This window comes from Homo sapiens, chromosome 15, assembly GCF_000001405.40.
Source record: "Homo sapiens chromosome 15, GRCh38.p14 Primary Assembly".
Lineage (NCBI taxonomy): Eukaryota > Metazoa > Chordata > Mammalia > Primates > Hominidae > Homo > Homo sapiens.
The window spans coordinates 44,537,095-44,563,482 of record NC_000015.10 but is presented as its reverse complement, the minus strand read 5'-3'; the positions used below and the strand labels follow the sequence as shown (position 1 = coordinate 44,563,482).

General features: G+C 42.0%; 2 protein-coding genes across 8 annotated transcripts in view, besides 2 other annotated features; one reads left to right on the top strand and one right to left on the bottom strand.

Moving 5' to 3' along the window:
- Positions 1-787, top strand: part of SPG11 (SPG11 vesicle trafficking associated, spatacsin) — a 100,967-nt gene extending 100,180 nt beyond the window's left edge. For all 5 annotated transcript variants that reach the window (NM_001411132.1, NM_001160227.2, NM_025137.4 and 2 more), the window contains one exon: positions 182-787. In NM_001411132.1, coding sequence (NP_001398061.1) covers positions 182-362 — 181 coding nt within the window. In that variant the 3' untranslated portion in view covers positions 363-787. The remainder of the gene's footprint in view (positions 1-181) is intronic.
- On the bottom strand, positions 680-26,336 carry EIF3J (eukaryotic translation initiation factor 3 subunit J). 3 transcript variants are annotated; one of them, NM_003758.4, is made up of 8 exons: positions 26,246-26,336; positions 26,056-26,159; positions 12,553-12,607; positions 11,961-12,052; positions 8,816-8,930; positions 5,833-5,994; positions 3,161-3,234; positions 680-2,465 (listed from the first exon to the last, which is right to left on the bottom strand). In NM_003758.4, the coding sequence occupies exons 1-8, from the start codon at positions 26,286-26,288 to the stop codon at positions 2,334-2,336; spliced, it is 777 nt and encodes a 258-aa protein (NP_003749.2). In that variant the 5' UTR covers positions 26,289-26,336; the 3' UTR covers positions 680-2,333. The 3 variants fall into 3 exon arrangements, with proteins under 3 accessions (NP_003749.2, NP_001271264.1, NP_001271265.1); NM_001284335.2 differs by lacking the exon at positions 5,833-5,994; NM_001284336.2 differs by lacking the exons at positions 11,961-12,052; positions 12,553-12,607.
- Positions 25,834-25,883: a silencer, noted in NCBI's record as "silent region_6397". NCBI's record gives its function as "represses an Ori minimal core promoter by ATAC-STARR-seq in GM12878 lymphoblastoid cells {active_cell/tissue: GM12878}" and the evidence as "EXISTENCE:reporter gene assay evidence [ECO:0000049][PMID:35858748]".
- Positions 25,904-26,213: a silencer, noted in NCBI's record as "silent region_6396". NCBI's record gives its function as "represses an Ori minimal core promoter by ATAC-STARR-seq in GM12878 lymphoblastoid cells {active_cell/tissue: GM12878}" and the evidence as "EXISTENCE:reporter gene assay evidence [ECO:0000049][PMID:35858748]".

Below are 26,388 nucleotides of genomic sequence, written 5' to 3'. Positions count from 1 at the left end.
CATGTAATCCCACCTACTCGGGAGGCTGAGGCACAAGAATCACTTGAACCCAGCAGGTGGAGGTTGCAGTGAGCCAAGACTGCTCCTCTGCACTCCAGCCTGGGCAACAGAGTAAGACTGTCTCAAACAAAACAAAACAAAAAACAGTATCTTAACCTGTACATTATGTTTCTTTATCTAGATATAAACAACATCAGCCTACTGACATGGTCATGGAAAACCTGAAGAAATTACTCACATATTGTGAAGATGTTTACCTGTATTACAAGTTGGCATACGAACACAAGTTTTATGAAATTGTAAATGTGCTTCTGAAGGACCCTCAGACAGGTTGCTGTCTAAAGGACATGCTAGCAGGTTAGATGATTTCATAGGTGTCTGTTTTCTTGTACTGTTAGCAGATTCTGACAGATGTGATGAGAAGAAGAATGCATTGGAGATCTTTGCTAAAGTTGAACAATCCCGGTACTGTACCATATCAGTCCTTTGTGGGTAGTAGGTAGCAAGTAAGAAACTTTTCAGGAGGAAATTCCTATTTAAAATAGATTGATTTTAGATGATTGTTCATCCACACCATTTTATATAGATACTAGTATTAAGATCAAAAGCTTCCTCTTCCTCAGGACAGCTTCTACTTTAGATGATCCAATAATGATTAAAGAATACCTGTACCTGCAGATTCCAGTTTCAAAGAAATTTAATTATTATTTACACAGTTAAGGAACAGGTGATACATTTTCATTTGTTAGAAACTGATCTTTCTGTAATAAAATAGATTTTCAATTCAGTGTATGTCATTATTACTGCTAAGGAAATCTTAGCCCTTGTCTGCCTTAAAGGAATCTTTATTTAATTTACTGTAATTATTGCTGTGTAGTCACTACTTTTGTTAATTTCTCAAATCACTTAGATGATGGTCTTGTTTTCCACTTAGTAGGTATACAGAGCTTTGACGTTCCTATTATTTCCTATATAAGAGAAATTTAAAACATTTTTTGTTCTTTCTGTCTTAGGGGAATAAAAAAACACTAACCACACATTTGGTTAAACTGCTTAGGAGAAGACATAATAAAGATTCCCCAATCTATACTTAACAGCCATAAACCTGAGTTACAGGCTCAGTTACTCCAAATAAATAGTTCTTATAGGTACTTAATTAATTAGGCCTTGGTATCTAAATAACAAAATAATGTCCCCAAATAAATAAGAGGAAGGCAGCCCTATACCTTTGTTGCTCTATGGTGACAACATAAGGACCTGGCAAATCACTCATGTTTTAAAGCTGTAACTATGTCAAGCATTTATTAAGATTTAGTAGAGAACGTAGAGAACTGTACTCCCAAGAGCTGTGTTCTATACTCTCAAAAAGTATCTCTTGGGAGGTAACACAAAATTTAAGTCCTCACAACAGTGATTTTATTAAATTAGTTGCTTTATAAAACATTGCAGATGTCATAATTGTTAACATAACAATTTACCAAACTGTAGTTAACTGGTGCAGTTTGCTGAGCATGTTTTATAAAGGAAAGGAAAGGAAATGCCAAAACCCTGGTAAAGTTGTTCCATTGCAGCCTAAGAGAACAAAGATTTGTTTCTCAGACACTTAAATCAGGCAAATAAAAATAAGTTTCCCTCCCCCACCTGAAGCAGTTCATCAGTAGAAATAGCCTGATAAATAACTAGACAGTCTTTGCACTCGAGAGATTCCACAACATGTAATGCAATAATGGAAAGGTTTACCTTCTTTAGCTTCAAAGTTGGAGGGTTTTGGTCATTTTAATTTTATATCAAACTAGTGCTTTTCAGCCGCAGTATCTTCACTCTGAGATAAGCAGTCTTCTTCACAATGTATTTTTAATATCCTCATGTTCAATTTTAAGACAAAGCAATTTTAATACTAGGTGCACACCACATGCCCTTGCTGCAAACTGCTTTTCTTGACAAGTTATGAAGTAGTTCAAGGAGGTATGGTTAAGGCTGTATTACTGAATGGTGCTGGTAAATACTACACAATTTTTTTTGTCACGTTGCAACCTTTTGTTTCCAATTTAGTGACTGCTGCTATGAAATCAGATAGCAACAACGACAACATTATTAGGTTTTGAACTATGATTTAGTAGCAACTTAGGTTCCCAATTTTAACCCCTTGGCAGCAAGATCCAAGTTCCCTCATTTGCACATTAGCACCTAAGTGTCAAGGGGTTAAATAACCAGCACAAAAGATACTGCACTTCTGATTGTAGCATTTGGCAGAACTGAAAGGAAAGGAAGTTGTGCTACATGTTCAAGGGATTGTGGGCAACATAAAGATGACACCAAGAAAAGATAAAATGTCACATGAAGTCTTCATAGTCTTGTACATATCCTCCATCATAACCACCATAATCTGCCAGATCATCTTTCATGGTGGCTTTTAATCCCCCTCCAGGAACCACACCTTTCTTCTTCTTTTTGGCTTTGCTTTGCTAAAGATGAAAGAGAGTTAATTCATGAACCTTAGTGTGCTATGGGCATCTTATCTGGTACAGCAACCCTCATAAACAAACACACAAAAACCTTTGGTCCCAGAAACACTAGTTCTGTAAGGGACATCCGAGCCTACATGTTTTGGACCTGAACAGGTCTCCCAGAGTCAGTCTCTCCAAAACTTGATCTGGGTCCTTGGTCCTGCTCTGGATACCTAGCCCACCAGCAGGGGTTATAAGTTATTGGTAGACAGCCTTAACTTCACTGAAGCAAATTTAGAAAAGTGTGGATAAGTACCCCCCAATTTAAAATCACAAAGCTCTAACCTTTACTTGACATACTTCTCTTACTTTACTCTTATAAATACTCTGCAAAGTGAGTATTATTGTTCCTATTTTAGAAGGGAGAAGACTGAAGCTTAGAAAAGCTGATTTACCTATACCTATTAAGTAGCAGTGCTAGTATTTGAACCCAGTCTGTGATTTCAGCAATTTCTATTAACTCAGAAAAGGGGAACATGTCTGGAAACAAAAGGACAGTAATAGCACCCATACTCCTCTTCTAGTCTAACTTAAATGGTATTAGTGAGTTGCTTGACTTTTAATTAGGACAGGCTCCTATTATATTTGTTGACTGTTAGACCTATAACCCCACTCTAATTTAATACCCATTTCCCTACACAGCTTGCTCTTACCTTTTCTTGCTTCTGTTTTTCACTGCAAAGCACAGTCAGTGAATTGGTAATTTTTTTCAAGTCATCAATTTCCACTTAAAAAAAAAAGGGCATACCATTAAACTTGAATTTTTAAGCATTTTGAAAAGTTAAAGCTAAATATGTACATTCCATATATATCTATATATCCCAAAATGTACATTCCAAAAGTGTTATGAGAAATCCAATTTGTTCATTGTTAAACTTCAGTAACTTTGAAAGGACCATGAATTTCTCCTCTTTAAACGTAAGGTGGCCGGGCACAGTGGCACATGCCTGTAATCCCAGCATTTTGGGAGGCCTAGGTGGGTGGATCACTTAAGCCCAGGAATTCGAGACCAGCTTGGGCAACACAGCTAGACCCTGTCTCTTGAAAACAAAATTCATTTTATTTATAATGACGACCTGTAATCACCAACACACCATTGCTCAACCAAAGAGAAACTGTCTTTATAGCTCACAATGCTCCCTACTATCCTTCCTCAGTCTAAACAAATGGGGGAGGATAACATGCCCTTCCATTAACACACCCCCAGTAATCAGGGAGAACAGACAAATAAACATGAAATGACAATTACTATTATTTTTTTTTTTTTTTGAGATGGAGTCTCACTCTGTCACCCAGGTTGGAGTGCAGTGACGCGATCTCGGCTCACTGCAACCTGCGCCTCCCGGGTTCACACCATTTTCCTGCCTCAGCCTCCCGAGTAGCTGGGACTACAGGCGCCCGCCACCATGCCCAGCTAATTTTTTGTATTTTTAGTAGAGACGGGGTTTCACTGTGTTAGCCAGGATGCTCTTGATCTCCTGACGTGATCCGCCTGCCTCGGCCTCCCAAAGTGCTGGGGTTACAGGTGTGAGCCACCGCACCCGGCCTATTTTATTTTTTTTTTTGAGACAGAGTCTCGCTTTGTCACCAGGCTGGGGTACAGTGGCGTGATCTCGGCTCACCACAGCCTCCACCTCCCAGATTCAAGTGATTGTCCTGCCTCAGCCTCCCGAGTAGCTGGGATTACAGGTGCGTGCCACCATGCCCAGCTGATTTTTGTGTTTTTTTTTTTTTTTTTTAATAGAGATGAGGTTTTACCATGTTGGCAAGGTTAGTCTCAAACTCCTGACCTCAGGTGATCTACCAGCCTCAGCCTCCCAAAGTGCTGGGATTACAGGCATGAGCCACCACGCCCGGCCAGAATGACAATTCTTAAACCTACAATGACAACACCCTATCCCATGATGTCTCCATTTTCTTGCACGGGAACTACAATGAGAACAGTGACCATCTCTATGTCCTACCAAGAAATAGTCCTGTTCAGTGGACAGCATTATCAGCCTTATAAAAATATGAAGCTGGAAAGAGACACCAGTTTTTAGCTACCAGAAAGTGTTCAGTTTTGGTTAGAGAACACCTCCAAAAACCAGAAAAAAATTAGTACATGCAGAATAAAATATCAACTCTGGGCACATTACCAATCAAATGTAGAACCCTCAGCTTAGTGATAATTTATCAAAGAAAACCCAATTCATTGTGTAGGATTCCTTTTTCTCCATCTTAAAAACTGCAAATAGGCTGGGCGTGGTGGCTCACACCTATAATCCCAGTACTTTGGGAGGCCAAGGCAGGGAGATCACCTGAGATCAGGAGTTCCAGAGCAGCCTGGCCAACATGGTGAAACCCCGTCTCTACTAAAAATACAAAAAATTAGCCGGGCGTGGTGGCAGGCGCCTGTAATCCCAGCTACTCAGGAGTCTGAGCAGGAGAATTGCTTTTTTTTTTTTGAGACGGAGTCTCACTTGGTCACCCAGGCTGGAGTGCGGTGGCACGATCTCAGCTCACTGCAAGCTTTGCCTCCCAGGTTCATGCCATTCTCCTGCCTCAGCTTCACCTTGTTAGCCAGGATGGTCTACAATCTCCTGACCTCGTGATCCGCCTGTTTTGGCCTCCCAAAGTGCTGGGATTACAGGCATGAGCCACTGCGCCAGACCAGGAGAATTGCTTTAACCCAGGAGGCAGAAGTTGCAGTGAGCTGAGATCGTGCCTCTGCAATGCAAGACTCCATCACAAAAACAACAACAACAAAAAAACTGCAAATACTAGCAAAACCAGTCCCTTCCATACATTCCTGCTTCACCACCCATGGCTGTCACTCCCATTCACCCTGCCCTGAAATGTATGACTCCTATCAAGGTGTGGCACCACAACCACGGACCCAGAGAATAGGTGCCAGCCCTGTCACTCAACTTGCACCCTGTCTAATTCTGATTTGTAAAAGACAGTGGCTGAAGTCTCACCCAACCCAAATCCTACAGTGCCAGAGACCTTTTCCCTCAAAAGATACTTCCCAGCCCCTCTCAAGTGATAATCAGATAAAAAGAATAGGCCAGTGTTTTATTAGCTGCTTTGCTGACAAGCCCAGGTATCTCTTAGGGAAGCCATTGTAAAACAAGAAGTCCTCTTACCCCTACAAACAAACAAAAAGATCCAGCACTCAAATTCACTGTATCTGCAGAACAACATTCACAAGGTAATTGCTAAAAACAGCAAATCATGAGTCTGTATTATAGTATCCTTGAAAATAAAAAATAACCTTCAACCTCCTGAAGAGAACATCCTACTAAAAATCTACCCAGAGGGGCTAGAAATTAGAATTACTTACATGAAATACACACATCTCGAACTAAGACTTCCAAAAAACTGGCATAATATAGTGACTTTTCATATTGTGTAATTTTATCTTTTAGTAACTTTCCAAACTCTGTAAAGTCATCTCTTGAAGATGGGTTCATAGCATCTATTCCATAAACTGCATTATTAACACCTGTAGGAGAAAAGAAGCACTGAAAAGTATCAGGAGGTTAGGATTTTTAAAAATGAAACCTTACAAAGCCAATAGCTATCTGAATAACCCTGTCGTTTCATTCTAAAGCAGGGGCTCTGAACCTGGAGCCACTGGAGTCACTGGATAGAATGGCTGGGTGAGGGGGGAGGGGGGTTACAAACTTAAATCAGAAAAAAAGTTACATCTTTATTAACCTCTAATTCAGCATTTCCTTCAGTTTCAATTGACTGGCAACAAATCACAGTGGTATTAGCAAAACTTGACTTACCAGGAGAGATCACACTCTCCTGCCATTACAGATATCTTACAATATTAATATTGTTCAGTCATAATTACTCTCAAATGACATTATTTGACGTGCCACTACACCTGATTTAATGCATCGATAAGGAAGCATATAATTCTGTATCACAAATTTGTCATTTTAGTATTTTGACATCTATTTATATATAACAGGTTTTCTTTATAAATAAGTATTTTATTCATTTAAAAACAATATATCAAGGCCAGACACAGTGGCTCACACCTGTAATCCCAGTGTTTTGTTTGGGAGGCCTAAGAGGAAGGATCGCTTGAGGCCAGGAGTTTGAGACCAGCCTGGGCAACACAGCAAGACCTCATCTCTACAAAAAAAATTTTTTTAATTAGCCAGGTGTGGCCAGACGCAGTGGCTAACACCCGTAATCCCAACACTTTGGGAGGCCTAGGCAGGCCGATCACCTGAGGTCAGGAGTCCGAGAGACAAGCCTGGCCAACATGGTGAAACCCTGTCTCTACCAAAAATACAAAAATTAGCCAGGCATGGTGGTGGCATGTATCTGTAATCCCAGCTACTTGGGAGGCTGAGGCACGAGAATCACTTCAACCCAGGAGGCGGAGGTTACAATGAGCCGAGACTGCACCACTGCACTCCAGCCTGGGTGACAGAGTGAGACTCTGTCTCAAAAAAATAAATAAAATTAGCCAGGTGTGGTGATATTCACCTGTAGCCCTCGCTACCCGGGAGGCTGAGGTGGGAGGATTGCTTGAGCCCAGGAGTTTGAGGCTGCAGTGAGCTATGGTCATGCCACTGCATTCCAGACTGGATGACTGAGCAAGAACCTTTCTCTAAAAACAAAACACAACATATTACATTACAAAAGGGATACTCTGTTCTTGTCCAAGAACACCCCCACAGTAAAGTGGGGAGAGAGGGAACAAAAAGAATAAGAAACAAAGATGGATCCTGTGAAAGTATTTGTCTAACTCCAGAAGCTAAGCGGGGGTAAACATGTTAAATCCCAATAGAAGAAATCTGGCCTAGGCTGTGCATGGTGGCTCATGCCTGTAATCCCAGCACTTTAGGAGGCCAAGGCGGCAGATCACTTGAGCTCAGGACTTCAACAACAGCCTGGGCAGCATGGTGAAACCTTGTATCTACAAAAAAAGCCCCAAAAAACAAAAATTACCCAGGCGTGGTGGCATGCGCCTGTAGTCCCAGCTACTTGGGAGGCTAAGGTGGGAGGATGGCTTGAGCCCAGAGGCAGAGGTTGCAGTGAGCCGATCTCAGCCACTGTCCTCTAGCCTGGATGACAGAGCCAGACCCTGTTAGAAAAAAAAAAATCTGGCCTAGATGAGTTTTACACTAAGATAAGTATGCTTCTGTATCCTCCATGTCAAGTAGATTAGTTATTAACAATATTACATGTGGTATTTTAGTATGAGAAACACAACAGTAAAATCCTATTAACAATGACTATATGAATGCATGTTTTTACCTTTTAGTCTATAACAGGTGTCCCATGCTAGGCTTTATGCACACTTCATAAACCTGCCTCTTTAATAAACACATGGGCAGCTTTTACCATCCTAGGAAGACACATATTAACAGCCAAGAGCTCTCTATAATTAGATGAGTGCAGTTAAGACCTGCCAAGCATACAATGGTGCACAGGAGCATTCACATCAACTCCTGGTATTTGTACAGATCCACTGACAGATAAGGTCATACTTCCTCATGAAAAGGAAAACAATCACTACAGTCAGCCTGTTGATCTGTTTCAGAGTAGAGAAAGTATGAAAGTGGGGGAGGGGTATCAGAATAACTAGAGCTTTCCTTCTTGGTTATAAATTTCAGTGATTTAACTGTTTCAACATGATCTTCTACTCTGAAAAGTACTCAACAGGTAACGATAACTTGGTTAAATGAAGCGAGGGCTTTGACTATTTCTCTAGCCATGTCTCTTACTCTGGAACACTCTGAATTTATCTATTTATAGGATCCTGCACTTTTATCTCACGCACTAACCACAGCTGCAGACACCGCACAAAGAAATGGAGGCCCTCTAAAGATAGGGCATGGTAAGGGCAAAGAAGGGTTGCAGAAGGAAATGACACTGAGCACAAGAAGGCACAGCAAAAGCTGCATGCCTCTCACCTGGAGCAACATCCTACTGTCTAAGTCTTAAGACAACAGGACAGCCCTACAGTCCATTTCAAAGCTACAGACCTCACATTTCATGCAAATTTCATCCAGCTGATAAAAATATTCTATGCAGTAGTGTACTTCATCTGAGTCTACTCCTTTTTGCCCTTCTTGCATTGCTATAAATGACTTATCTTAATAATCTTTTACTCAAAACAATTATTCAAAAATCTGAACATGTAATGAAATCTCAAATATACACAGAGATTAAAAACTGCTTTCTAATATCTACATTAGCCAGTATGTTTCTTTTAAGAAAAGGAGATGTTTTCTGAACTTTCTGGGTCTTCACCTGTAACAGTTTAATACTGTATTGCAATCATAATCCCGTCTTACCAAAAGTTTCCTTTGCTAATTCGAGGTCTGACTCTTCCTGTAATTTCTTTAGCCGCAGTTTATCTGCTAATTGTTCTTCTGGTGTTAGCACTTTAGGTTCTTCGGGTTCTTCTAACTAAAATGAGACAAAAGTTTTTAAAAAGCACAGGGATTATGATGCACTCAGTACCTTTCTGTATTGTACGAATTCTTAAATAAGCGTATATAATAACAAATAAAAGTGAACACTGGTAATTACTGTTTCAGGCATTCTTCTAAACACTTTAGTTTTTTTTTTTTTTTTTTTTTTTTTAGACAGAGCCTCACTCTGCCACCAAGGCTGGAGCACAGTGGCATGATCTTCGCTCATTGTAACCTCTGCCTCCTGGGTTCAAGTGATTCTCATACCTCAGCCTCCCGAGTAGCTGGGATTACAGGCGTGCACCACCACATCCAGCTAATTTTTGTAGTTTTAGCAGTGATGGGGTTTCACCATGTTGGCCAGGCCGGTCTTGAACTCCTGGCCTCAAGTGATCCGCCCATCTCAGCCTCCCAAAGTGTTGGGATTACAGGTGTGAGCCACTGCGCCCAGTCCACTTTAGGTATCCTTAACCCAATTTTAAAGATAAGCAATGGAGGCACAAAGAAACAACCTGCCCACAACTAAATAGAAGGTAACAGCTGGTAACGTGACAGATTTGTACCCAGGAAGACTGGGGTTACTTCTATAACCTTTTTTAAAAAAAGGAATTGAGACTGTGGACAAGGTAAAAATATTACTTTCATACACTGCTACTAAAACTATATTGGAAAACCCTTTCTAGGGCAACTTGGTAATATGGATCAAGTCTTAAATAATATTTTTACATGCTTTAATCAAGTATTCTACTTCCAGGTATTTACCTTAAGAAATAAGATGCACACAAATATGTAAGCCCAAGAATGTACATTAGAGTATTATTCATAATTTCAAATAAATTTACAGACAACCTAAATGTCCAACAGAATGGTTCAAAACATTTCCCCTTTTCATCATATTGTATAATTATAAAATTACCACTATAACAAATTTTAAAGATATAATAGTAGATGTCATTTGTTTCCCAAACCCACTTCTCTGACATGACAGTTGACAGCTTAGTGTATATCTATCTTCTCTTTATACTGGAATATAATTATTTTTTCTTTTTTTTTTTTGAGATGGAGTCTCGCTCTGTCGCCCGGGCTGGAGTGCAGTGGTGCGATCTCCGCTCACTGCAAGCTCCGCCTCCTGAGTTCACACCATTCTCCTGCCTCAGCCTCCCAGGTAGCTGGGACTACAGGCGCCCGCCACCACGCCCGTCTAATTTTTCTATTTTTTAGTAGAGACGGGGTTTCACCGTGTTAGCCAGGATGGTCTCGATCTCCTGACCTTGTGATCTGCCTGCCTCGGCCTCCCAAAGTGCCAGGATTACAGGCGTGAGCCACCACGCCTGGCCGTTTTCTTCTTTTTTTTTTTGTTTTGAGGCAGGATCTTGCTCTGTCACCTAGGCTGGAGTGTAGTGGCGCAGTCATGGCTCACTGCAGCCTCAACTTCCTGGGCTCAAGTGATTCTCCTACCTTAGCCTCCCAAGCAGCTGATACTACAGGCATGTACCACCACGCCCAGCTTATTTTTCTATTTTTTGTAGAGACGGGGTCTCCCTATGTTGTCCAGGCTGGTCTCAAATCCATGGACTCAAGCAATACTCCCACCTCAGCCTCCCAAAGCGTTGCAATTACAGGCATGAGCCACCACGCAGGCTGTTTTAATTTTTGAACCATGTAAATGTGTTCTGAAATAGAAAATAGGCCAGGCACAGTGGTTCACGCCTATAATCCTAGCACTCTGGGAGGCCAAGGCGGGTGGATCACCTGAGGTCAGGAGTTTGAGACCAACCTGGCCAACACGGTGAAATGCCATCTCTACTGATAATACAAAATTAGCTGGGCATGGTAGCACATGCCTGCAGTCCCAGCTACTCGAAGACTGAGGCAGGAGAATCACTTGAACCCGGGAGAAGGTTGCAGTGAGCCAAGATCACGCCATTGCACTCCCGCCTGGGCGACTAGAGTGAAACTCCATCTCTAAAAAAAAAAAAAGAAAAGAAAAGAAATAGAAAATAGGCTGGACGTGGTGGCTCATGCTTGTAATCCCAGCACTTTGGGAGGTCGAAGCAGGCAGATCACTTGAGGTCAGGAGTTTGAGACCAGCCCGGCCAACATGGCGAAACCCCATCTCTACTAAAAATACAAAGATTAGCCAGGCATGGTTGCGTGTGCCTGTAATTCCAACCTGGGATGCTGAGGCATGACAATTGCTTGAACCTGGGAAGTGGAGGCTGCAGTGAGCCAAAATCACACCACTGCACTCCAGCCTAGGTAACGGAGTGAGACTCTGTCTAAAAACAAAAACAAAAAAAAACAAGCATATATTTCTGATCCTGTGCCAAAAAATCAAAAACAAATACATTTATATAGCACATGGCACAGAAATGAACAATTTTTATATTATGTTCAATATATACACTGCAAATAAAAACTAATCCTGGCCAGACGCGGTGGCTCACACCTGTAATCCCAGGACTTTGGGAGGCCGAGGCGGGTGGATCACGAGGTCAGGAGATTGAGACCATCCTGGCCAACATGGTGAAACCCTATCTCTACTAAAATACAAAAAATTAGCTCGCCGTGGCTCCTGTAGTCCCAGCTACTCAGGAGGCTGAGGCAGGGGAATGGCTTGAATTCGGGAGGCAGAGGTTGCACTGAGCCGAGATTGTGCCACTGTACTCCAGCCTAGCGACAGAGCAAGACTCCGTCTCCAAAAAAAAAAAACAAAAAACAACAACAAAAACTAATACTGCTGACTAGAATGAACTACAGGCACTGGCAAAAATCACTGACTGTAGTCACTGCACTATCATGACTATTCCTGAATGTTTGTGAAAACTTAAAAGACACTCATATATAAAACTGGGTTCTGTTTTTGCAAAAACCACAAATCAATTTGTTTTGGATTTTACCTATCTTATGGTATCCATTTACAGTCTTCACAGAGCCCTTCAAATTCCTAGGTAATATTTGCAGCCTGTTAGAAACTATACCACTACCGATGTGAGAATTCTGTATTTTAGAAAACAGAATTTACCCTCTTTTTAATTTCTTCTTGCCTTTTCTTCTGTTGCCGTTCTTTCTCTTTTATCTTCTCTGCTATTTTTTTCTTTTCTGAAATTTTTACCTCTAAAAGTAAAAAAAAGTTTTATTCAGTTATACTGAGTATTTTCCAGTTTATGGATGAGACAGACATGATACTTGTATACTATTAAGAGACCAAACCTTTCCCAGCTTCAAACAGTGATTTTTCTCACAAATAATGGGAAACTTCTGGGACTCTTCCTTCTCCTCTCTAATGTGACCCCTAAGATCCAAATATCTCTTCATATTTCCCCACCGTCCTATAGGCAGGGCTTAGATCATTCAACTATAATTAATGCCAGAACCTCTACCCTTTCCTACTAACAAGCACTCATACAGAAATACAGCAAGTATCTAATCTGATTATATTTTGAGGCGATAGAGAAAAGTTGCAGGGAAAACAGAATAAAGTGGGAATGGAAGGACACTTGGTTTCTAAATACCAAAATGTTCCATTTTGTGAGCGTTCTGTCATTTGTCTTAATACAAGTCACAAATGCTCAGCAAGACATAAAAACAAAAATGGAGGCGCCCCAGTGGCTCACCTGGTTTTACTTCTGCTTCCTCTTTTTTTTCATCATCATCGTCATCCCAGTTATCCTAAAGAAAAGGACTTCCATTAATAATTCTTGCATGTTTGCTTTTCTATGTGAACTTTATTATCAACTTGACTAACTCCAGAGAAATGTTTGTTGGTATTTTTTTGTACTGCATTAAATTTATAAATTAATGTAGGGGGAATTGACATCTTATAATGCTGAGCTGCCCTAACCAAGAATAAGAACTGTCTTTCCATTTGATCAAGTACATTTTTGTACCTTTCAGAAGTGTTTTAAAGTGATTTCCCTATTAGAGGCTCTGCGCATTTCTCTTTAGATTTATTCCTAAGTATTTCATCTTGTATGTTGCTATTATAAATAGGGTGTTTTCCTATTATGTCCTCTAGGTGGCTATTATTTGTGTATAAAAACCTATCGGCAAGACCCAGTCTCTGCAAAAAAAAAAAAAATTAAAAAATTAACTGGGCAACGTGGCATGTGCCTGTAGTCTCAGCTACTTGAGAGGCTAAGGTGGGAAGATCACTTGAGCCCAGGAGGTTAAGGCTGCAGTGAGCTATGATAGTGCCACTGCACTCTATCCTAGGCAACTCACTATCATAAAAACCCTGTCTCAAAACAAATAAACAAAAATGACTATTGGCTTTTTTATATGTTAATATCCTGCTACCTTACTGAATTCATTTATCACTTAAGTTAGATTTATCGTTGCTTCTCTAGGGTTTTACAGGTATGCTACCTTATCTGCAAACAAAAGATAGCTTTACTTCTCTACCAATCCTTAGGCCCTCACAAGTGATTTACCTAATTGGGCCAGCTAAACCTCTAGTGCAATGTTGAACAGCAGCAGAAGTAATGGGCATCCTTGCTTTCTTGATGGAAATGCCTCTATTGTTTCCCCATGAATTGCTATGCATCCCAACAAATTTATGCAATAAAATTTACCAGACTTTTTTTTTTTTTTTGAGACGGAGTTTCTTGCCCAGGCTGGAGTGCAATGTCACGATCTCAGCTCACTGCAACCTCCACCTCCTAGGTTCAAGCGATTCTCCTGCCTCAGCCTCCCCAGTAACTAGGATTACAGGCATACACCACCATGCCTGGCTCATTTATTTTTAGTAGAAATGGTTTTTTTTTTTTTTTTTTTTTTTTTTGAGACGGAGTCTCGTTCTGTCGCCCAGGCTGGAATACAGGGACGATCTCAGCTCACTGCAACCTCTGCCTCCCAGGTTCAAGTGATTCTCCTGCCTCAGCCTCCCGAGTAGCTGGGATTACCAGCACATGCCACCATGCCTGGCTAATTTTGTATTTTTAGTATAGACAGGATTTCACCATGTTGGTCACACTGGTCTCGAACTCCTGATCTCATGATCCGCCCGCCTCGGCTTCCCGAAGTGCTGGAATTACAGGCGTGAGCCACCGTGCCTAGCCCCAGTCTTTTCTTTCATTGCCTCTGGATGGATTTCAAGTCAATTAGAAAGTCTTTTCTTGTTTTTTTGTTGTTTTGTTTTGTTTTGTTTTGTTTTTGAGTTGGAGTTTTGCTCTGGTTGCCCAAGCTGGAGTGCAATGGCATGATCTAGGCTCACTACAACCTCCACCTCCCGGGTTCAAGCAATTCTCCTGCCTCAGCCTCCCAAGCAGCTGGGATTAGACATGCACCACCATGCCTGGCTAACTTTGTATTTTTAGTAGAGATGGGGTTTGTCCATGTTGGTCAGGCTGATCTCGAACTCCCAACCTCAGGTGATCCGCCCACCTCAGCCTCCCGAAGTGCTGGGAGTACAGGCATGAGCCACTTCGCCCAGCCAGAAAGTCTTTTCTTACACCTAAGAATTCACCCACAATTTCTTCTAGAATGTATAGGGTTTCATTTTTTTTTTTATTTAGATCTCTGATTTGGAGTTTTTTTCTTGTGTTATGATATGCAACATGGATCTAATTTCATTTTTTTCCCAAATGGCTACCCAGTTGTCACAGCATCATTTATTAAAAACCCTTTAATAAATAATGGTTTTTTTCCCTGGGCTATGGTTTGAATGTGTCCTCCAAAGTTCATGTGATGAAATCTCCAATCCAACAGTGTTGAGAAGTAGGGTCTTTTAGAAATGATTAGAGGCAAAGCCCTCATGAATGAATTATTAATACCTTTATATTAGGAGTAGATATCTGATAAAAGGATGAGTTCTGACACCTCCTGCAATCCTTTGTGCTCTTTTGCCCTTCTGCCCCAGGATAATAGAGCAAGAAGGCCCTCGCCAGATGCCAGCACCTTGATACTGGACTTCTCAGCCTCCATAACCATAAGAAATAAATCTGTTGTTTATACAATACCCAGTCTATTGCATTCTATTGCAGCAAAAAACATTTTAAGATACCTTGTGACTTACCATATACTAAATTTTCATATGTACTTGGTCTATTTCTGGGCTTTTGATCCTATCCCACTAGTCTACTGTCTCTCCATATAACGGTACCATACTGGGTTTTTTTGGTCTTGTTTTTTGAGACGGAGTTTCACTCTTGTCGCCCAGGTTGGAGTGCAATGGCGCGATCTCAGCTTACTGCAACCTCTGCCTCCTGGGTTCAAGTGACTCTCCAGCCTCAGCCTCTGGAGTAGCTGGGATTACAGGTGTCCACCATCATGCCGGGCTAATTTTTGTATTTTTAGTAGAGACGGGGTTTCTCCATGTTGACCAGGCTGGTCTCGAACTCCTGACATCAGGTGATCCTCAGCCTCCCAAAGTGCTGGGATTGCAGGCGTGAGCCACCATGCCCAGCCGGTACTGTTTTAATTACAGAGGCTTTACTTTAATGTCAGCTAGAGCTAGTCCTTCCTTGTAGGTTTTCAGATTTTTTAGTGTTTTCTTGGCCTTTCTTGCATGTTTTGTTTTTCCATATGAACCCTCATATCAACTTATCTAACTTCATAAGAAAGCTTCTCCATTAGCAGTTAGGACAACCTAGCTGAAATCAATAGCCTCTCTGAAAGTGATTCAGTTATTAATAAATAAAAACTGAGAGAACTTTATAGTTCTTACTTCCCCCCAAATGTAAAAAGCATCCTATACTCTGGCCAATAGCTCATTTATTTCAAGTAGTATTCCATACAACATAAGCCTGGTTAATGAATTAAGTCTATATAATTCTAAAGCCCACTATTAAAAAGGAGTCAGGCCGGGTGCGTGGCTCATGCCTGTAATCCCAGCACTTTGGGAGGCTGAGGTGGGCGGATCACGAGGTCAGGAGTTTGAGACCAGCCTGGCCAACATAGTGAAACCCTGTCTCTACTAAAAATACAAAAAATTAGCTGGGCGTGGTGGCAGACACCTATAATCCCAACTACTTGGGGGCTGAGGCAGGAGAATCACTTGAACCCAGGAGTGGGAGGTTGCAGTGAGCCAAGATTGTGCCACTGCACTCCAGCCCAGGTGACAGTGCGGCGAGACTTCGTCTCAAAAAAAAAAAAAAAAAAAAAAAAGAATCAAGGCCGGCTTACGCCTGTAATCCCAACACTTTGGGAGGCCAAGGCAGGCAGATCACCTGAGGTCGGGAATGCAAGACCAGCCTGACCAACATGGAGAAACCCCGTCTCTACTAAAAATACAAAATTAGCTGGGTGTGGTGGCACATGCCTGTAATCCCAGCTACTCGGGAGGCTGAGGCAGGAAAATTGCTTGAACCCAGGAGACAGAGGCTGTGGTGAGCCGAGATCGCGCCATTGCACTCCAGCCTGGGCAACAAGAATGAAACTCCGTCTCACAAAAAAAAGTCAACAGCTAATCAAGCCTTCATGGATCCCACTCTCTAACTCAGGGCACTTTAATCCCAGCACTTTGGGAGGCCGAGGCAGGCAGATCACTTGAGACCAGGAGTTCCGAGACCAGCCTGGCCAACATGATGAAACCCCGTTTATACTAAAAAATACAAAAATTAGGTGGGCATGGTGGTGCACGCCCGTAATCCTAGCCACTCAGGATGCTGAGGAACAAGAATCATTTGAGCACAGGAGGCGAAGCTGCAGTGAGCCAGGATCGAGCCACTGCACTCCAGCCTAGGCAACAGAGACTCTGTCTCAAAAAAAAAAAAAAAAAAAAAAAAAAAAGATCTATACTCTGTTTTTTCTATGCCTAACTCAATCATTGAGCTAAATATAAACCAATTATCAAACACAATTTTCTAAAAGCTCCACAGAACTTAGAAGGCTCAAGTTTAATAGGGACAGACACAGCCCTATGATTAAAGATGGCTTTAATCATAGGTAGCCTGGCCATTGTCTCAGCAGCCACCAGGCACACTATGACATGCCATTTGAAGCTGAGTGGCAAGATGGCAAAAGCAGGGCAAGAGGCCCTGATGCTACTAAAGAAGCAAAGGCTGACTAGTATGACTAATATGCCACAATATGACACCAAGCTTCTGGTTTCATAACACGACAGATCACAAATTTGTATCAGTCTAGGAATATAAACTAACCAAGCCTTGGTTCTTAATAAAAATCTCTAAGTCCAGTAAAGAAATTAAAAATTCAACATCCTGATTAAGGCTGTCATACAGTCTGCAAGCATAATTAAAGGAACTTTGTATTAAAAAGTAAGTGTATTTTTATATTCATCTTACTTCAGCAATTTAACCCACAGCTCGCAGTTTTAACAGATTGAAAGCAAACCAGCTAGTCATTATTTGAGTAACTGTGATACTAGAGTTAGAAATTAGAGATCAAACGTTTGTATTTCGCCGTTAGTTTGCTAAGTGCTATACATCACAGTACAAAAGGAACCAAAGAGCTAAAAATAAAAGTGAATTACTAGGCATTTTTTGTTGTTTAAATCTTCACAGAACACAGGAAGGCTGGATCTGTGAGTGATAGGGGGCAGTGTTTCAGATAGGAGGACCATTTGCTTACTTCCAGAAGATGCATATTTAAAACCCTTCTGAGAAACAGGTGTAGTAACAAGGTTAATTCTCACAACAGTCCTGTAAGAAGGTAGTGTTATTCCCCCATTTTAAAGAAAAGGAAACCCAGGCCCAGACATAGCCAACCCACAATCTCAGTGAAAAACTAAGGGACCTGCTCTGAATGGACCAAAGTTCTTTAAAGTGTCATAGGTATAAAGTTACAGTTAGAAGAATAAGTTCTGGTGTTCTATTACACAGTACGGTGATTATAGCTAATAACAATGTTATATATTTCAAGATAGTTCCATAAGAAAATTTTGAATGTTAACACCACAAAGAAATGATAAATGTTTAAAGTGATGAAATGGTAATTACAATGTATACATGCATTGAAACATCACAATATACCCCATAAATATGTACATTATTTGCCAATTATAAAAACTAATTTTAAAAAAGTTTTAAATAACTAAACATTTGACTGACCTTTTTATTGAAAATAAAATGATTTACTTTTTTAAAAAGCATGTTTTAAACACTTGCTTACAAAGTTCACGGTTTAGTAGAGTTCAATTCACTGTAATAAAGCAGCTTACAACACATCTTTAGAGTAACATGCTGAGATACATCCTTTAAATGTATACATGTAAACAGCTTCATTTAAGGCTTTAAACACAATGTTAAGGAAGGTCTTTAAAAAGCATGTTTTAAACACTTGCTTACAAAATTCACAGTCTGGTAAACAATTTAATTCGCTGGAATAAAGCAATTCCAATGCAATTCCAATGCAAAATAATAAAAATAAAAATAGTATTATAGTAAATATGACTTCTTCCCTGAGTCCTGAAGTATAAAATAACTAACTGGGAACTAAGTCCCTCTCCTGGGAACTCTGGGAATCTCATAAAGAGAAGGATTATTACACATATTAAGATATGCCCAGCTAGAGGTATACTGGTTACCAAACTTCTCACCTTAAATTGCCTGTAGTGGTTCTCTACTGATCTTTTTTTTTTTTTTGAGATGGAGTCTCACTGTGTCGCCAGGCTGGAGTGCAGTGGCGCAATCTCAGCTCACTGCAACCTCCGCCTCCTAGGTTCAAGCAATTTTCCTGCCTCAGCCTCCTGAGTAGTTGGGACTACAGGTATGCACCACCATGCCTAGCTAATTTTTGTGTTTTTAGTAGAGACCGGGTTTCACCATGTTGGCCAGGATAATCTTGATCTCTTGACCTCGTGATCCACCCACCTCAGCCTCCCAAAGTGCTGGGATTACAGGCGTGCCTGGCCCCTCCCACCTTTTTTTTTTTTTTTTTTTTTAAATGGAGTTTTGCTCTTATTGCCCAGGCTGGAGTGCAATGGCACGATCTCAGCTCACCGCAACCTCTGCCTCCTGGGTTCAAGCGATTCTCCTGCCTCAGCCTCCCAAGTGGCTGGGATTACAGGCATGTGCTACCACGAACTGGCTAATTTTGTATTTTTAGTAGAGATGGGTTTCTCCATGTTGGTCAGGCTGGTCCTGAACTCCCGACCTCAGGTGATCCACCCACCTCAGCCTCCCAAAGTGTTGGGATTACAGGTGTGAGCCACCACGCCTGGCCAGTTTTCTACTAATTTAAGAAACTGGGCCAGATGAGTTGGCTCACGCCTGTAATCCCAACACTTTGGAAGGCCAAGGTGGGTGGAATACCTGAGTTCAGGAGTTCAAGACCAGCCTGGCCAACATGGCAAACCCCTGTTTCTACTAAAAATACAAAAAAAATTAGCAGGGCGTGGTGGTGTGCACCTGTGGTCCCAGCTACTCGGGAGGCTGATGCCCAAGAATCACTTTGAACCCGGGAGGCAGAGGTTGCAGTGAGCCGAGATCACGCCACTGCACTCCAGCCTGGGTGATAGAGAAGGCCTCCGTCTAAAAAAAAAAAAAAGAAAAGAAAAGAAAAGAAAAAAGAAAAAAACTGGTCTGCAAGCCTCTGGTAGTAAGAGGTCAAGAAGGAAGAAGTATGGCTGAAAATAAGGAGCTCCATCTCAATACCTCCAAGGTAAAGAAACAAACTCAACACAGGAGCATTTTTATTTAATGTTGATGCTCTTCAGTTACCCTTCCCAGAAAAACATAACCCCCACCCCACCCATATCACTGCTCCCTCAGTACATTCACACCAACTCTATGTCCACCTCTATCCCTGTCCCTAGTTTCTCCCATCAAAGCATAAACCTTACCCCAGACACACATCAATGCAGACATAATGAAGCTACCTAGACATTCCCTACTCCATCACAGAATGGATTTTAGTAGCAAAAGAAGTGATTCTGGCCAGGCGTGGTGACTCATGCCTGTAATCCCAGCACTTTGGGAGGCCAAGGCAGGCAGATCACGAGGTCAAGAGATCGAGACCATCCTGGCCAACATGGTGAAACCCCATCTCTACTAAAAATACAAAAATTAGCTGGGTGTGGTGGCGCACACCTGTAGTCCCAGCTACTTGGGAGGCTGAGGCAGGAGAATCGCTTGAACCCAGGAGGCGGAGGTTGCAGTAAGCCGAGACTGCGCCACTGCCCTCCAGCCTGGAGACAGCGAAACTCCATCTCAAAAAAAAAAAAAAAAAGTGGTTCCTATCAACATGTACCAAGAAGAGCCATGACATCTGCTCCTCAATTCATAAAAGGACCATCCAAACCTTGACTGTCACTCTCTCCCCAAAGTGCTTACAAGTCTGCCCTGAAGTTACTACCAAACTAGCACTAAGCCCCTAAAGAAAGGAGCATAGTAAGTGTCAGCAAAAAGAGACTGGTCACACTTCCAAACAGATGTAATTATAAAAGCAAAAGGCCAGGTAGCTTTCCCCAGGAAGTTAGAGTTTTTGTTTCCATAGTTATAAAATTAAGTGTCTGAAAAGTAGATTTAAGGTAGAATGTTCACCACGCTGCTTCAAAAAATATGCCCAATTTTTTGTAAACATTAGAAGTTTGTAAATTCCAGCAGCAAATTCAGATAAAATGTAAAAAGGCTTCCTAGAGAAACAGCTAAAATTAACACTTAAAATAGGGAGCAAGTCTACAACTCACTTCAAAGAGCCCTAAATGGTTATTTGGTTCAAGAGACTACCTATGAACATCCAATTAAATCCTTTACCCAATTATTTTTGGTAGCCAATTAATCTTTCAACTATAATATCCAATTTATCTTCAAAAGAATCACCCAGGCTGCTCTCCTAAAATGGCTAGCTTCTTAGAATAGGGCCTGTTTATAAACTACTTGCTTATCTATACTCTTGCCCTGCAGATACACACCCATCATTTAAGCTATTTCTATGAAAGAGATGGCTGCTTTTTAACTTTAAAACTTGCTTCCCTAATTGAACACAACTAAGTATCAGAAGCAAAGCAGAAAACTTTATATCTTGCTTTCTTTTTATTTCTAACAATGTGGCCAGTAGTTAGCTGGTTCTGTCTTCATAATATAAAACTACATTATGTCACATGCAATGAGAACACATTTAGGGCTGAAAATGCTTTCCAACTTAAGCAAGATGTATTTATAGATTGTCAAATAGAAGTAGCTTCAAACGAGCAATAAAACTCTTTTGCCCTATAGCAACAGCCTAGGAACTAACATATACTCCTTCTCCTTTTTTCTTTAAATAATTTGGTTTAGGTAAAACATAATCTCTTGCTGGGAAAGAAAAAAAAAGCCTTTAATTTGTGTTCTGTAAGCTGTGCAGTTCTGAGAGAACTCAGAACTGTGCAACGAGATCTTGGCAAGGGTAGACTTCCCAGCAAAGTTCAGTTTTTTAAAAGCCAAAATGTTCTTCCACCATCTCAGAACTATGCTGGGTGCCTAGAAGCCAAGGTGCCTGCCTTAGTAAATTCTACTTCATTTAATTCAATTCATTAAGCTTTTAACATACTACAATGGATCAGCACTCAGCTGAGTTCCATCTCAATGCCTACCTGTCTCATATTCAGGACAGTTATCAATCTACTTTAAATTTCTGGCTCAGCGATATCAAGACACTGAACACTAAACAAGTGGTTTATTTACAATGATCCATCATGACAAGAAAATATTTTTCAATAACAAACATGCTTCCTAATTCAAAACTTGCTAGTTTATAAAAGTGGCAGGGTATGAAATGATATGATTGAGATTTTCTTGAAAATAATCTGGTTGGAGGAGGAAAGTGGGGATACAGAGGAGACAAGACTGGTCACTGGTTTATTAAATGTTTCTCTCTACTGCATGTTTGGAATTTTTCTTAAGTTACACATACACACACTCTCTTCAAAATACCCATTTTCTGGCAAAATGCCCACCTTCTGGGTATTTCCTAGTAATTTCACATTCTGTAAAATACAGATCCTGTTCTTTAGAAGTTGTTTCCAACCCCTGAAAATTGTCCCTATCTGGTAGATTCAAACTATTTATTGGAATAGGATCCTAACAGAGAGTGAATGAGTAGGACGAGAGAGGCTCAACTAAATCTGTTCTTCAGGATCGCTCTCTCTTTAAATGTGTTGGGGTCTTGCTATGTTGCCCAGGCTGGCTTCAAACTCCTAGGCTCACGCAATCCTCTTGCCTCAGCCTCTTCAGGATCTTTTAAAAGAAATGCTATATGGTTACAGAGGCAAATGCGTGAGATGGCTGAACACAGCTATAAGTTTCTGCAAACTCTGTACCCTTTGAATAAATCTAGCTTCTAAACTGTTCTACTGAAATGCTAGGAGACTAGTAAAATGGAGCAAAAGTTATGTTGTCCTTGTGTCCAGTAGGTACTCACTGCCTTCTCAGTCAACACATCCTACATATCATACCAGCAATGAGGAAGGAGTCATATATGCCAAGTGAACAATTCTTCCCACTACCTCTGCACAACTATCAGGATAGTAAAAAAGGTAAATAAAGCCAGGGTGATGGGAAACTATGCTCCCGAGTTCTCATCTTTTTAACTGGGGAAAAGCATAGTCTTTTCTTGCCATATATATTAACGGTTGTACAGTTTCACCTAAGTCCACTTCTGCCACTGCCAGACAGCTATTTGAAAAGTCAAGGACAGCAAAATACTAAGTCTACTAAATGAGAGTAAAGTGCTGGAGCAAATTATAATAACAAAAACATCAGTTTTCCTTTCATTTCCCAGGACATTACAAATGACATTAAACCTGTATTTTTAAAGGTTAAGTACTAGATGCTGACATGAACAGAAGACCTCACGGAAACTAAGCCTTGTCTGCAACTCCTCATAAAAAGTACAAAAACATAAGAATTCAGAAATTTGGTGATATGGCTGAGTCTGCTGGCTCACGCCCATAATCCCAGCATTTTAGGAGGCTGAGGAGGATAGATCACTTGACTCCAAGAGTTCGAGACCAGCCTGGGCAACTTGGCGAAACTCTATCTCTACCAAAAACACAAAAATTAGCCAGTCTCACAAATCTGTCTCAAAATAAATAGGCCAGGTGCAGTGGCTCACACCTGTAATCTCAGCACTCTGGGAGGCCAAGGCGGGAAGATCGCTTTAACCTCAGGAGTTTGAGACCAGCCTGGGCAACTTGGCGAAACTCCACCTCTACCAAAAACACAAAAATTAGCCAGTCTCACAAATCCGTCTCAAAATAAATAGGTCAGGTGCAGTGGCTCACATCTGTAATCCCAGCACTCTGGGAGGCCGAGGCGGGAAGATCACTTTGACCTCAGGAGTTTGAGACCAGCCTAGGTAACATGGCGAAACCCTGTATCTACAAAAAAAAAAAAAAAATATATATATATATATATATATATATATATATAGCCAGGCGCGGTGGCTCACGTCTGTAATCCCAGCACTTTGGGAGGCCGAGGCGGGTGGATCACGAAGTCAGGAGTTCAAGACCGGCCTGGCCAAGATGGTGAAACCCCGTCTCTACTAAAAATACAAAAATTAGCTGGGTGTGGTGGTGGGCGCTTGTAATCCCAGCTACTCGGGAGGCTGAGGCAGAGAACTGCTTGAACCTGGGAGGCGGAGGTTGCAGTGAGCCAAGATCGTGCCACGGCACTCCAGCCTGGGTGACAGAGCAAGACTCTATCTCAAAAAAAAAAAAAAGAAAAAAATATGTAAATTAGCTGGGCACGGCGGTGCACACCTGTAATCCCAGCTACTAGAAAGGCTGAGGCTGGAGAATCACTTGAATCCGGGAGGCGGAGGTTGCAGAGATCGTGCCACTGCACTCCAGCCTGGGAAACGGGGTGAGACCTTCTCTCAAAAAATTAGATGAATAGATAGATTGCTTTAAGTTAAAAAAAAAAAAAAAAAAGAAAAAGAAATTTAGCACTAAAACAGCAACTGGGGCCGGGTGTGGTGGCTCACGCCTGTAATCCCAGCACTTTGGGAGGCCAAGGCGGGCAGATCACAAGGTCAGGAGATTGAGACCATCCTGGCTAACACGGTGAAACCCCGTCTCTACTAAAAATAGAAAAAATTAGCCGGGCGTGGTGGTGGGCACCTGTAGTCCTCGGGAGGCTGAGGCAGGAGAATGGAGTGAACCTGGGAGGCGGAGCTTGCAGTGAGCGGAGATTGTGCCACTGCACTCCAGCCTGGGTGACAGAGCGAGACTCCATTTCCAAAAAAAAAAGAGCAACTGGACAAGATAATCTTTGTGGTCCCTTACAACTTGTAAATATCCAAAACTTGTTCCAAGTGATCAGAATTATATTCATCAGAGGCTGGGTACGGTAGCTCACGCCTATAATTCCAGCACTTTGGGAGGCTAAGGCAGGAGAATCACCTGAGGTCAGAAGTTCAAGACCAGCCTGGGCAACATGGCGAAACCCCGTCTCTACTAAAAATACAAAATTAGCCAGGCGTGGTGGTGCGTGCCTGTAATCCCAGCTACTTGGGAGGCTGAAGCAGGAGAATCACTTGAACCCAGGAGGTGGAGGTTGCAGTGAGCCAAGATCGCGCCATTGCACTCCAGCCTGGGCAACAAGAGCGAAACTCCATCTCAAAAAAAAAAAAAAAAAGAATTATATTCATCAAGATCGATACCATTTAGATCCCTTAATCCCAAGGAAGTTATTCCATGACATTAGTCTAGACTATCCATTAAAACTTCATTTTCTGCAACTTCTTTCCTAATATCTCTAATCTTTTCTCTGCATTTGTTAATTTATTCCCAAATTTCATAACAGATGTCTTAACTGCCACTTCCTATATGCATGGAAAAAAATGAAAGGACCAATATGAACCCAAGGCTCAAAACTGAAAATCTGCTACAATGTAGAGGGGTAACTAATATCTTGTAATGCGGCTGGTAACAAAATCTAGTCCCATGTTTCTACAACATGTAAATAAAGCATCTGAGTGTCTTCAAACAATAACCAGTCGATTTATTAACTTCAATGTGTGCAAAGCTCACAACATTCTTGAACCTCAGGCTGTCAGTAAATCGGACATCCACACATCCAACCTCATCGGACTGGGGAGAGAACAGAAAAACTCAAAACAACATTCCTATTAAGTTCATAGTGATTATCTAGCTTAAACTTTTCAGCCCAGGCAGGATTTATAGGGTTCTCCGTTTGTGTTTATAAATTAGGAGAAATTCACTAAATTAGGCAAAACCACAAAAAAAAATCATTTTCCATTTCACACAAAACTTTATCTGCACAAATATAACAAGATTTTGAGAACTTTGTTAATAAGAGTCTTAACATTTTGGATTTGAGACTTCTGTAACTACTGTAAAAAAAAAAAAAAACCATGTAGAAGTAAATGTCACTTACAGCTGTATAATGAACCCTTCGGAGTTTTCAAAATCAAACGACTGAGGTAAAAATGATTATCTACAAGGCACAGACAAAACAACAACAACAACAAAAAACCACGGGCCCGTCATCTACAACCACCACCAAATCTTCAATATTTCCTTAGGTGTCGTATGTGTGTAGTTGAGTAACTGTCGTCTCTCCATTTCTCAGGTCACGGTGTGAACTACCTGGGTTTCTGTCCACTAACTGCGGGCTATCTCAGTGGTCAGTTCATTCTTTTTACCACAGGGTGGGGGAAGGGAGAGCCAAAAGTTATTTCCCTTTACTGTTTCTAGCTGTCTCGTGTGGGAAAAAAAGGTTGAAATTCAACTACAATATTTCACTCATCTAATCCCTCGAACAAACTGTATAAGTAGACCTCAGGGTCATAAATGAGTTACTGGCCCTGGGCTGACTTGAGCTCGAAAAGACAGGCGAGTCTCAAGGCTTTCCATATGGATAAGCTACAAGGCTCAATTCCCAACTTCCCGGTCTCATTCCTGCGAGAGGCTCCGGACCGCGAAGCTTGCACGTGGGCCGACCCGGCCGATGCTGTCACCTTTCGTCGCCAGCCGGCGGGTGGGATCCACGCCGGAGAGCAGACTCTCAACCGGCGAGGGAGTCCGGGAGGCCACGCTGCCAGTCTTCGGCCCACACATGGCCGGCAAGCGGAGGGGAAGAGAGCACCGCCAGGCCCTATGCTCGCGCCTGGACCCACGGCCCGCAGGCCCCGGCAGCGACCCGGGGCCCAGAGTCGGCCGGCAACAGCGCCAGCCCGCTTCCGCGCTGCCCGGCGCCCTAGCCCGCACCCACCTTGACGTCCTCGTCCTCGTCCTCGCCTTCCCAGCGGTCCCCGCCGGCAGTGCCGCCGCCCCCCACCTTCCGCACTGGGTCTTCCACGGAGAAAGCGTCGGCGTCTACGGAAGAAAGCGAGCCGTGTTAGTGCCTGCCACTGCGTGGGGCCGGCGCCGGCCCGGGCCCTGCCCCAGCAACTTCTCCTCACCCCAGGAGTCCGAGTCCCCCGCCGCCGCCGCCGCCGCCGCCATCTCGAGCCGGGTGTGAGCGTGTGTGAGAGGGAGAGCTAGCGAGGAGTTAGCACGGCGGAGGTGAGTCACTGGGTTTGCTCTCGTTGACCGGCGCGGAGCA